Source organism: Homo sapiens, chromosome 4, assembly GCF_000001405.40.
Source record: "Homo sapiens chromosome 4, GRCh38.p14 Primary Assembly".
Taxonomy (NCBI): Eukaryota; Metazoa; Chordata; class Mammalia; order Primates; family Hominidae; genus Homo; species Homo sapiens.
In genome coordinates, this window is record NC_000004.12 from 47399025 (window position 1) to 47412776 (window position 13752).

The following is a 13752-nucleotide window of genomic DNA, read 5'->3' on the forward strand; positions in this document are numbered from 1 at the left end:
CGTGATCCGCCCACCTTGGCCTCTCGAAGTGCTGGGATTACAGGCGTGAGCCACGGCACCTGGCCCTTTCTCATATTTATTGAATAATGTTTTTTGCTTTGTTAAAAGAGAACTAGTGTTGAAAGTTATCAAATGCCATTTTAGTGTCTGTATAAATAATCATATGGGTTTTATTCTCCTTAGATTTGTTATTATAATGAAGTATATTACTAGATTTTCTAATGTTAAACTTAGAATAAACCATATTGATTATGCTTTATTATTTAAAATACTGCTGGATTTTGTTTGCTAATATGTTCTGCTTACTTTATGAAAATAATTTAGAAATTTTCATTCTTAGCCTATGTTTTGGAACTGTTTAAGTAGCAATAGAATTATCAGTTCTTAAATGTCTGTTTGTAGGGATGAAATCAAGCTGTTTTGATTTTCTGTGCCTCCTTATTTGAGCTTTAAAAAATGCTTTCTTCTGAGAAAATTACCCATTTCATCCACATTTTCAAATTAATTTGTATGAAATTGATTAGTCATGATTCTTTACCGTTCCTCTCTTTCTAAGGTGGAGTCCCTTATCTGTCCTGATTGATCTGTTTGATTAGAGTCTTCTGTAGAAGAGTTTCCTCATGCAGGTACCTAGATGATATGTCCTCTGAATCTTTATATATCTTCTCTGGAAAGAAGTGGTATTTTGGCAGGGAGTAGTACTTTTGGGTCTCATAGTTGCTGTCCTTTATGCCTATATTCTAGATGTTCTGTGGGTGTCATTCCATAATCTTTTCTTTCCAGCATTGTGTATAAGAAGTTCAATACTTTTTCCGTTGAAAACACCTTGCACTTTCTGTCTGGAAGATTGTAAGACTATTATTACACCCTTGGAGTTTAGGAATGATACTGGCATGACCTGGTATATTCAGCTTGCCAATCTGCAAAATAATTTATTTAGTAAGCTCTGGGGAATTTGTATTTTCTTTTTGTTTATTATGGCTCCTCGTCTATATAACTCCCTTCTTTCAGGAATGCCCACTATTCATATATTAGATCTCCTAGATGAGTCCTTCAAAGCTTTTATAGTTTCTTCATGCTTTCCAAATATCTATAAAATTGTCTTCCAAGCCACAGATTGTGGCCTCATCAGTGGCCATCTTCTCTTCAATTTATCTAAGACATTTCATATATTTAAAAAAAAACCATTGAGTTTTAGAATAAAAAGTTGCCTGTGCTGTAATCAGATATCTGTAAGTGTTCCTATATTTTTACCAAGAGTGAGGAATGAAGAGTTCAAGCTATTATTTGCTTCCTCCTCAGTTCTTTTCACTAGATGATACCTAAATCTAGTTGTTCCACTTGTTTTCCTTCTCTAGGGCTACTGGGTTCCTTATATGCATTGTTATTTTTTCTTGCATATTCTTTGGGGTTTGGGCCCAGCTGCCAGGTCACCTTAAAAGGAACAAAGTTGTAGATGGAAAGCATAGTGAGCTCCAGCCTGTTGATGCACCAGGAGGTAGTCTCTCTCTCTCTCTCTCTCTCTCTCTCAGTGACCCAACCTGCCTTTTCTTCTCTCTCTTTTTTTTCAATAGCTTTAGGGGTTTTTACTTACATGGATGAATTATATAGTGGTGAAGTCTGGGTTATTGATGTATCCATTACCCAAATAGTGTACATTGTACCTAATATGTGATTTTTTTATCCCTTACCCTCCTCCCAGCCTCCCCACTTCTGAGTCTCCAACATTCCTTATACCACTGTGTATGCCTTTGCCTACCCATAGCTTAGCTCTCACTTATAAATAAGAACATGCAATATTTGATTTTCTGTTCCTGAGTTACTTCATATAGGATAATGGCCTCCAACTCCATCCAAGTTGCTGCAAGATACATTATTTTGTTCTTTTGTTCTTCTCTTTTTTTTTTTTTTTTTTTTTTTTTGAGACGGAGTCTCGCTGTGTCACCCAGGCTGGAGTGCAATGGCACGATCTCCGCTCACTGCAAGCTCCGCCTCCGGGGTTCAGGCCATTATGGTTGAGTAGTACTCCATGGTGTATATATATGCCACGTTTTTCTTTTGCCTTCATCAGTTGGTGGGCACTTAGGTTGACTCCATATCTTTGCAATTGTAAACTGTGTTGTGATAAATGTACGAATGCAGTCTTTTATATATAATGACTTCTTTTCCTTTGAGTAGATACCCAGTAGTGGGATTGCTAAATCGAATTGTATTTTTAAAAAGTCAAAAAACAATAGATGTTGTGAAATGGAAACGTTTATGCTCTGTTGGTAGGAATGTAAATTGGCACAATATCTATGGAAAACAGTATGGCGATTTCTCAGCCCACTTTTTTAACTTTCCCACATCCCCTTAAAGGACTGAGATGACAGAAGTTCCTCCAGACAGTCATACAGGTGGTAATACCCTTCCTTCTTTAGTAGGCCCAACAGCCCCTTCACCCAGCTATCTTCTTTGATCTCACTGTTCTAATCCCCACCCAAGGACTCCATGCCACCAGTCCCTAGGTTCTCTCTAGTGGCTGAGGGGGGAAAGAAAATCCCATGATGCCATTGTCCACTGGATCCAGACAGGGCTGAGAACTCACATTCCCCAGATACTACTTCCTGCTGGGCTTAGGAGAGGTAACTCATGGTTGAATTGGAATTGGAAAGGAAGGAATCTGGGTTGAATATAAGCTGTCATATTGCCACTAACCATTTCAACTAAGAAAGGAGTTTTGTATTCTAAAATCCATGAATGGGATCCATGATCTCCTGAAATTGCCATCAAATTCCATCTATCTATCTATCTATCTAGCTATCTATCTATCTATCATCTATCTATCTATCTATCTATCTATCATCTATCTATCTATCTGTGTATATTTTTCTATGGATTTTATTGGCAGGTTTTTATCAAATTCTCAAGGAGACATTTAGAATCAGTCTTACAGAATCATACCCAAACTTGGTAAAGTCCCCAATATGCCAATTAGTCCCATGTAGATTATTCTAAGTCCAATAGTAAAGAGGGTCTTAGTCTTTCAGACACTGGTGATTATATCTGGAAGCCAGTTTAAAGCAGTAAAGTTAAGACAGTTTTGTTTTCCTTTTTAAAAGCGGGGAAGGGAGTGGGGAAAAATAGCTTAAAATTTCTTACATTCTGCAAGGACAAGTTGATGGTGACCCTTTGGCACCTGGCATTCAACTTCTAAATATCAAATACATCATTTTTTATCTCTTGAAAAGGTATTACTGGCTTTAATCAAAAGTAGATCAGCATGGTGTCCACTACAAAAAGCTTATGTGGTTACCTTTGAAACACTAGCCCCTGCAATTCTAATGGAAAAAAAGATTTTTTGCTTTTTTATTTGAGGTGAACCTAAATAGAAAATGAATTTAGAAAGAGCTTCTTTGTCTCTAGCTGGTAGAGAAAAATATAGTCTTAAAATATTCCTAAAATTATTTTTAGATTTTTAAAATGTATCTGTACATTCTTCTTATGCAAGTTACTCTTATACATAATGATAACCCAGCTAGACCACTGCCAGGTGGGAGTAGAGTGAGAAGAGGAAGAGATTAGGCCATCAGCAAAGGGCCTTCATGCTGAAGACCTGAGGACAAGCCCTTCTATTACAATCTACAGTTCCCTACACATTCCCCTTAAATTAACTAAAGTTCACTCTCATAAGTATAAAGATATAAAAGCATTATCAAAAATTTATGTAGTCCTAAGACTTTCACCCACATATTAGCTATAATAATATTAGCTATAATCAAAGGATATTAATAAAAGCTTGCCAAATTTTCTAAAAGAAATATGTAGTTTTTAATGTCTTAATCATGTAATGGCTATATATAAACTTGGTCTTTCATTACACTTCATCTCTTTACACTATCTGTTATCCATTTAACAAATATGTGCTCAATTATTATTACTTGTTGTGCTATTGTTGTTGTTAAGTAGCACATAGCCAAAGCCATGTCCAGGTACCTAGAATTCAGCCATCCCCCAATTTAATCAAGGAATGCAAATTAGTAGATACAATAAGAATAAATTTGCAGCAATGACATCAGATATCACTAAACGATCCAGAGCTTAAGTCCAGTAAAGCCAGATGCACCCATTCTTTCAATGAAGCTACTAACAAACCATCAGAAATAGCACTCCACATGAGACCTGCATACCACCCTAGTTTAAAGCAATGCCACCTTACCACTTTTGTGCTGGGAATTTTTCCTCTAGCTCCCAGATGGTATTCAAAATGATTTCCTAAACTTTGTTTAACCGTGCTGTTTTTATTGGTTTCAGATGGCTATACCACTGATGACATTGAATTTTACTGGAATGGAGGAGAAGGGGCAGTCACTGGTGTTAATAAAATCGAACTTCCTCAATTTTCAATTGTTGACTACAAGATGGTGTCTAAGAAGGTGGAGTTCACAACAGGTGAGGTTGTTTCCCCCAAAATGTACTAGGGGTGCTGTGAAAGGAAGAAGATGGTTCCAACCAAATAATGGTCTGATTACTTGTCTTTTGTTTCTCAACTCAGGAGCGTATCCACGACTGTCACTAAGTTTTCGTCTAAAGAGAAACATTGGTTACTTCATTTTGCAAACCTACATGCCTTCTACACTGATTACAATTCTGTCCTGGGTGTCTTTTTGGATCAACTATGATGCATCTGCAGCCAGAGTCGCACTAGGTAATACATTCTCAGCACTGCAGAGAGCTAACAGATTTTACTTTCAAACAAATAACCAATATCAGGAATTATAGGCAAGGGCTCTCTTATAGCAAGCCAAAGAATTAGATCATCTTACAAGTCCCTGAATATAAAACATCTAAATGTAAGAATGTCCACAACGAATATTCTACAATGTACTGTCTTTTTAGCATTTTACCAAAACAAACAAACAAAAATCTTGGAATATATCTAGCACTACTTAAGTGTCTCATGGAATATATTTTTAAATTCTCATTACACTAGTTTTTACTAACTTTGGGATGACTTCCCCTTTAATGCCTGCTTTTAACAGTGAAGAACATATACAATGCACTATTTTCAAATGAATTTGGAGAAAGCTAAACCTTGTGACTAATAACAAGCTGTCAATTGCTGAGAAATACTATCCTTTGAATACTAACTAAAATTAAATCGTATCAAGCCACGTCTCCTTTAAATGGAGTTTATTACACTTGAATAAGGCACAGACAATTCATCAGCTATATTAATAATCTGTGGTCAAGACAGAATAAAAATGATTTCCTTCTTGGGGGAACAAAATTTAGAACTAATCCTGTCATGGTTAATTAATTGCTGAAAGCTGACAGGCTATATTTGAGACTTTAAAGGATTCCTTGGAAGGTTAGAATGTGTAAGGTCTGTCTGGTGAATCTGGGGATGTGCAAGTCTGTGTCATTATTTGATCCTACAGCCATTTCAGTTATCTCTTTCTGGGGCTAATTCTCACACACGCATGCACACACACACACACACACACACACACACACACACACACATCATTTCTGGCTAAACTAACATATTTCATCTCTTCACTTCGGAGACTGTTAAGCTGGACTAGATGATCAGCATACCCGTTCACAGCTATACTAATTGTCATCACTACAGCTTATTTGTAATGGCTGAATACATAAAGCTCACAAAGTCAAGTGTTTGCAGCCCCTTATCAATCTTTGAACAGCCTAAGATTAAAGAAAGCAAACAAATAATAGTATCTATCACACATATGCATCTGCACATATTACTTGAACATGAGTATTGTTAGGTCTATATGCTACACTTAAGAAAAAAACAGTGGATGATGTCCACAGCAGAGAATAATAACTAGTAAGTTTATGAATTGTGGTTTTCCTTACTCTTCTATCCTCAAAGCTAATACTATTTTAATTGGAGATATTAGAGATGTCAGTATATAAAGGTGCTTGTTTAAGCTATTCTTTGGATGGTAAAACTTGAGATATTTTAAAACATATGTAATTTAAAATGGCATTCATTTACTAACACTTTTGCTTAAAAATGTAAAACAAAGAGTAGAAGCAGAAATGCAATTGGTGAATTTATAAGTGACTCATTCATTTCTGTGAAGCACATTAGCTAGAATTGTATCAGGTGAAATTTAAAGGTTTTTTCAAAGAAATAAGAAAGACCACTCATTATGACATTTTGTATCAGTCCAGCACATTAGAATTTATTACTGATCTGAACCACTTTAATTTTTTGTATGGTAGCCCTGACCTCCTACTTTATCTGTTCTTCTAAAAGTTGAATAGTCAAATCCGGGAATATACATCTAGAATAATCTGATTGGAAAATGAATGCGAAACTATTTTTCCCTTCATTTCATTTTGCTACCTTCCATTCCCTTTGGAAGTTCTCCTTTGTCTTTACTATCTATTTTATACTTTCTGACTTTATTTTTAAGAGCCTCTATCAAATTTTAGATTTTACCTTTTCATCTCATTGCTTATTTTAAATGCTATTGTGTAACATTTCTATGCTCTTTTGACCCTAGCTGGGTGGCCTAAAACAAAATAATTAATCTCAGATTTTCTGTTTACCCAGTTATAAAATGAGAATAACATACAGTCCCTATCAGTTATAAAATGAGAATAATATACACTCCCTATCATTTTCAGGCTGTTATGACAGCCATGTAAGATAATTTATAACTGTAAGTGTTTAAAACTGTACAACACTATACAAATGTATAATATTAGTATTGCAGAACAAATATCTACACTAGATTCCAACTTCTTTTTCACTTCTTGCTTTTCACAATTATCACTTCATCACCACCATCATCAACACAAAATATTTGTTATACAGCTAAACAAACATTATACTATTAAGAATGCTATATATAACAAAGTAAATAAAACAAAATCTGTCTTTTATGAGTTTACAGACTTAAACTTCTTCAACAAATCCAAGTTCAAATTTTTAAGAAGTTGTTTTCTGACATCAGGGAACTAATTCATTCTAGGTTCTGGAACCAAGAAAATAGAGAATATTTGAAATATCAAAGCAACAAGATTATAGTAAATGTAAAATATACATAAATCAAGCACTTGATACAAATTATGACATTTCTCATGTTTCCTCTTTTGGTGATGTTTTGCTAAGAATGACACACAATCATTTTAAAATGCAATACTGACCTTGTAACTTGGGTGTCCTGTAGATTCATGGGATGAAGTAGATCTCAAACTAGTCACCAGCTTTCAGTTTGGTAGAGGCTGCTATAGGGATTAGTATCACAAAGACAGATTTAGGAGCACAGTGAATGAGATGCTGAGAAAAGGAAGAAAGATGTGGTCATGTAACAAAGTGAGCGACATTCAATAGCAGGATTTCAATGGGATTTTGATCTGCTTTTCCATCTGCTTTTGTTTTTATTTTGTGCAATTAAAAAAATGGTTTCAACCCTTCATTAACTACACATTCTATTTTATGATTCATTAATGGACTATGTAGGGAGGCTAATGCCTTGTCTTTCAAAATATCTGCCCTTTTTGCCCAATGGTTTATCATGCTACTGTGATCACTCAGGGGCACCAATAAGGAAGTGGCAAATGGCATCTGTCCTCTCAATCTTGAAAAAGGAACTTAATAGTGGCACCTTCAGCTAAGTGTTGTCTTTCTCTTTCACAGGAATCACGACAGTGCTTACAATGACAACCATCAGCACCCACCTCAGGGAGACCCTGCCAAAGATCCCTTATGTCAAAGCGATTGATATTTATCTGATGGGTTGCTTTGTGTTTGTGTTCCTGGCTCTGCTGGAGTATGCCTTTGTAAATTACATCTTCTTTGGGAAAGGCCCTCAGAAAAAGGGAGCTAGCAAACAAGACCAGAGTGCCAATGAGAAGAATAAACTGGAGATGAATAAAGTCCAGGTAAGATATTAAATATTCCTAACAATATTCTTGTTAAATTTATCAGCATCATGATGCCTCGGGCTCTCATAACTTAAAAACGATTAATAAAAAAATAGTTGATATTTAATAAGACTCAACCAAGCCTTCATTTTACATATTCAGGGACTGAGGAATGAAGAAGTTAGATTGAGGGTTATACTGATTAGTAATATACCCTGGAACTCAACCCCAAGTCCATTATTATTTATTCTAAACTATTTGTAAAAGCATATGTAAAGTAATAATGCTAGATTTGCATGGTAAATAAATGAGAGAACTAAAGTGAATATACATTGCATTCCTAAATGGAGATGAGGCACAGTGGTTATAACCATAGACTGAAATCAAACTGCCTGGTTTTCATTCCCAGTTTAGTCACCTAATGGCTTTACAACTTCAGCCAAATCAACCTATTTCAGTCTTTATCTAACCTTTTCTCTCAGTGTCCTCATCCATAAAATGGAGATTATTATAGTATGTCTATCTCACAGAGTTGTTTTAAGAACTCTGTTTTTCTCATTGGTACATCTTATAACCTGTGGTCTCATTGGATGGAATTAAATTTAAATGAATGATCTGTTTATTCTTTAAAAACATCTCTGTAGCCTCTACCTCTGAGCCATTTTTCACTGAAATCAATTTACCATTATTAAGTACATTCAAATGTGTATCTACCACAAATTGTTTTCAAGATAGCACAGAGGGTGACAACTGTTCATTTAGGCACTGTTCTAGGCATTTGGGATACTGATGTGAATGAGACAAAATTCCTCACCCTCATGGAGCTTAGGTTCTAACATGAGAAGATAAGCAATAAACACAAACAAATATCAAAAGGATAATTTTAGTTACTAGTAAGTGCTAAAAAGAAAGTAAAACAGTGACTCATGTCCGTAATCCCAGCACTTTGGGAGGCTGAGGCTCACTGGAGCCTAGGAGTTTGAGACCAGCCTGGGCAACATGGCAAAACCTCATCTCTACAAAAAATATAAAAATTAGCCGGGCATTGTGGTGTTTGCCTGTAGTCCCAGCTACTTGGGAGGCTGAGATGGGAGGATGGCTTAAACCCAGAAGGCAAAGGTTGCAGTGAGCAGAGATTGCGCCACTGCACCCCAGTCTGGGTGACAGAGTGAGACCCTGTCTTAAAATAATAATAATTTTAAAAAGGAAAACAGAGTACTGAACAAAAGAGTATTTGGGTCAGATTTAAGGGAGCAGGACACTTTGGTAAGACCTCTCTGTGGAATGACCATTTGATCTGATACCTATGTAATGAGAAAGAGCTAACCATGCCATGTCCATTCTAGGCAAAGGAAATAGCAAGTGCATAGGCTCTGAGGCAGGAATTCCTGTGTGTTTAAATACTGAGAGAAGACCGGTAGAGCAAGAGCATAGTTAGTGAGGAAGAAAGCAGAGTAGTGTGAAATGTGGCTGGATACTTAGGCCAAATTATAAATTTTCAGGGTGTATCTTCATGCTCTTTAGTAGGACGAAAGTTTGGATAAACACTGTTTGAAAAATTAGCAAAGAAAACTTAGGGATTCAGCCAAGTGGTTAAAATTCAAAGGAACACATCAAATAAACTTCTACCTTTGTGTGAGGCACTATGTTCAGCGCTATGGGGAGAGAAGTAGACAAGATATTTGCCCTCAAGAATCTTCTGATCTTATTGTGAAAGAATATTATACTCATATGAGGTGATTATAAAATGAGACAGGACACAGTTAGTTTGAGGTGTATACCTGAAAAGAAGCAACTTCCCAATGTCTGATTGTAACCATACCAGCTTTAAAAGTACTTTGGGAGGCCACCTCTTTTCTATTCCCATCCTCATCTCAGTTGCCTTCAAACATACTAATTCATCCTCTGCACAGCTTGGAATGTTTGTTAATTGATAAGTCACGAGGGAAAACCCTACCCAAAAAAGGTGGAATAGGTTCAGTGGTGGGAAAATGCAGAAGACATGAACTGGATGGATACTCAAAGATAAGTACAATTTAGGAAAGAATAATGAAGAAAGCAGGGCCCTTCAGTTGCTAAAAAACAATGTTCTCTAGGGAGAGTAATTAAATTGAAACAGGAGAGTTCCCTGATACGCTCATCTGTTGGGCTGCCATGCACTCAAACCTTATGGGAGGGGGAGCATGCAGACGGGCAGGTGTGGGAGCCGGGGCAAGCACTTTTGGGCTCTGGCCCCATGGTAGCATCTAGAGTTGGGTGCCTGCGACTCCCGAAGCCCCAGTAGGTGTGTTACAGTGCTCCTTTAGCTCTGCCATCTGCAGACAGCTTAAGTGTTAACCAGCTCAGTGCCTTTTTGGTACCCAGGTTCTTGTCTGGAGTCCAGGAAGAATCAGGTCACATGGACAAGTTGAAGGATGGTAAATGTGGAGGATCTTATTGCTGGATGGAGGTGGCTCTCAGTGAGATGAATGGGGAGCTGGAAAGAGGCTGGAGTGGGAAGATAATCTTCCCCAGGAGTTTGGCCATCCCGCGGCCATCTCTCCGACCATCTCCAGCCAAACTTCTCTCGACATTCAGACACTCCTTCTCTTCTCTCCTTCTCTATTATGCCACTCTTCTGCTCCTCTGCTCCTCTGCTCTTCTGCTCATGGAGCCCAGGATTCGGGGTTTATATGGGTACAGTATGGGGGGCATGGTGGGCCAAAAGGCAATATTTGACACTAAAACAGAAATGCCTGTTCCCATTTAGAGCTGTGGGGTTCCATGCTTGAGGGTGGGGCCTTTGCCGGGGAACTACCCCCTTCTTTCCAGTATTTTCCTGTCTCCTGTCCATATCAAAATGAAACATCAGGCAAACTGGAATCAATTTATTCAGATAAAATAAAAAGACTACAAAACAAACTTTAAGCAAACACTTTCAGCTTTTGATTCCACACTAGGATATCAGAGAAATTTTTTAAGATGATAAAGATTGAATAAAGGCAGGAGGAAAGCCTATGTCATGTCAGATCTAGATGTATAAGTCCTGCAGAGGACTTCATGACTGGCTAATAAATAAGTAAAATGTTCCCATTTGACTGACCTTTATTTCATAAACAGGCTGTTTGAGTAACATTGGGCTTAAATGTGGTAAGAATTCATTGTCTCTCGAATCAGTAAACTTTTATTCCTGGTAAATTGACTTTTTAAATTTTGAATTAAAGGAGAACGAATAAAGAAATTCCTCAACTGTCAGAAGACAATGCTTAAAGGAGATTTTTTTAAAATATGTTTTTATCCATGGAAAGTTAGACTACGAACTCCACAAATGATTTCCACAGAAAAATAGACATAATTCTGACAAAATTCAAAAACAAATCATATTAAAACAGGGCAGAGTACTTTGTATCAGAGTAATCCTCCTATTGATAGAAATAATAAACTGTGAGCACATTTTTAGAAATCTGCTTTAAGACATGGGAGAGTAACAAAACAAGCAAAAACTAAAAGAGAATCAACTTTCAAAAGGAAGGAACCACACTGTGTGAAATCCATGTTTATGCAGCTTTTCCCCTGAAGCCATGTCCCAGACTGAGGGATGTGGGGCAGCAAAACTTCAGCAGAAACTGAAGTTGTATTGACCTGAAGAGTCAGATCATGGAGTTTGATTGTTCCAGAGTTCCTGGAAATTTTAGAAGTGAGCCACAACAGAAACTCGACACCTGAGTGTAAACTTCCCCAGCTTGATCCCTGAGCTACAAATGTACAAATGTACAAATACCAAGGAGCACAGAAAGAAAAAATAGCTAGAAGCTGGGGGAAAGAAAAATGAACAGAGATTTTAGTTACTGTCCACTATATAAAAGTCAGAGTTTGGAGTTTGAATCCAGCCTGTTGGGGAGTGTGGGGGTGGTAAGCACATTAGGTTTTCCATAAAAATCTCAAGAGGCTTATACCTTAAGGGTAAAGATAAGTCACAAGAATAAGGGATTCCCCTTGGGTTAAGGGAAAATCTAAAATAGGCTCACCCTAATGACACATAAAACCAAGTCTCCACATATTCTGGATGATATGTTAGTCATATAACTGCCTACCAAACCAAACTCAACATTCTTTGGGGAAGATAGCAGAATTTAGAGTCTCTATGGTGCATCATTCAAAATATCCAATATATAGTAAAAAATTACTAGACATAAGAAGAAACAGGAAGATGTGACCATCATCAAGAGAAAAACATTTGTCAACAGAAACAGAGCAGTAAAAGTCTCAAATATTGGCCTAAAAGATAATTAGTATAAATAACTATAATTAGTGTATTTTAAAGTTCATAAGAAATAGCCCAAAACTGGAAACAGCCAAAATATCCTACAATAGATGAATGGTTAAACAAACTGTGGTATATACACACTATGGAGTACTATTCCAGTAAAAAAGAAATGAACTGTTGATACATGCAAAAACTTGGATGTCTCTCAAGGGCATTAGGTTGAGTGAAAAAAAACAGTATTAAAAGGTTATAATACTGTATTATTCCATTGATATAATACTCTTGAAATAACAAAATTATAGAGATGGAGAACAGATTAGTGGTTGCCGGGAGTCAGTGATAGTGAGGAAGGATGTGGGATGGGTATGACTGATTATAAAGAACTAGTGTGAGGGAGATCATTGCAGTAATGGAATAGTTCTGTAACTTAATTGGAATGCTTGTTACATGAATCTACATATGCAATAAAATTACACAGAACTATACACACTTTATGTCAATGTCACTTTCCTGACTTTGATATTATATCATAGTTATGTAAGATGTAATCAGTTGGAGAACCTGGGTGAGGGGTACATGGGGCCCCTCTGTGCTATCTTCACAACTTTCTGGGAATCTGTAATAGTTTCCAAATAAAAAGTTTAAGAGAAAGTCAGTAGGAAAAATTGATATAGTGTATAAAGAAATGGGGAGTTTCAGAAGATAGTTGAAACTATAAAAGTGGAACAATGGAAATCATAGAATTAAAATTTTTATTAGATGAATTAACATCACATTGTATACAACAGAAAAAAATGATTAGCGAAATTGAAGGTCATATTGGGCTTCTCTCAATTTCTCAATTGTAGCAGTTCTTACCATAAATGCTACTACTTTGGGGTTGCCTTAATAGACACTCTCACTCTTGATTTATTATTTGGTATCGCTGTTAATTGTTCTTATGGGATCCTGTGCTTTTCCACAATAAGACTTCCATGATAGTGAGTATATGTTTATTTGTATAATTATCTTTTAACATCTGTTTCTCCTTTTAAGCTACAGCTTCCCAATTATACACCCCAGAGCCCTTGTCTTTTACATTCATTGTTCTTTCCTCAGTAGCTAAAATGTAGATAACAAATAAGTACTTGTTGAATGAATGAATTAATTAATTAATACTGGAGAGTTGTTCTCCATTTTAGATGTTTTTAGAAATCACGCATTCAGTGTTACACTATGTTTTATAAAACTCGTACATATTCATAATAAGTAAGAAAAAGAGACTATACTCCACTTCAGCTTCTGCTCCAGACTGTCTTACTGTTCCTATCATTTTTATTTTCAAAAAAAAATTTAAACATGCTTTATATCAACCTCTGGTATTCTTTTTGAATCACTGTGCCATATAGCATTACATGTAATCTTTAAAGGAGCATTATGGCTAAGATTTTGAAATGGCACTGTTCGTCTGGGAGTAACGCCCAAGGTTCATTGTCTCAACGCCAAGGAAATCAAGGATGCGGTCACATAAGGAGTGAGGTTAAGAGCAGAGGTTTAATAGGAGAAAGAAAGAGAAATGCTCTCTCCTGCAGAGAGAGGGGTCCCAAGCAGGTCTTCTGGTCTGTGGTGAAATGCAATGGGTT

At 36.5% G+C, this 13752-nt stretch overlaps 1 protein-coding gene across 4 annotated transcripts in view; it reads left to right on the top strand.

Moving 5' to 3' along the window:
- Window positions 1-13752, top strand: part of GABRB1 (gamma-aminobutyric acid type A receptor subunit beta1) — a 432801-nt gene that overhangs the window by 405378 nt on the left and 13671 nt on the right. For 3 of the 4 annotated variants that reach the window (XM_024453977.2, XM_024453976.2, NM_000812.4), the window contains 3 exons: window positions 4294-4431; window positions 4535-4687; window positions 7658-7902. In XM_024453977.2, the coding sequence (XP_024309745.1) occupies window positions 4294-4431; window positions 4535-4687; window positions 7658-7902 (536 nt within the window). Of the gene's footprint in view, window positions 1-570; window positions 627-4293; window positions 4432-4534; window positions 4688-7657; window positions 7903-13752 lie in introns of those variants that run through there. The other variant, XM_017007985.2, reaches the window with a different exon arrangement.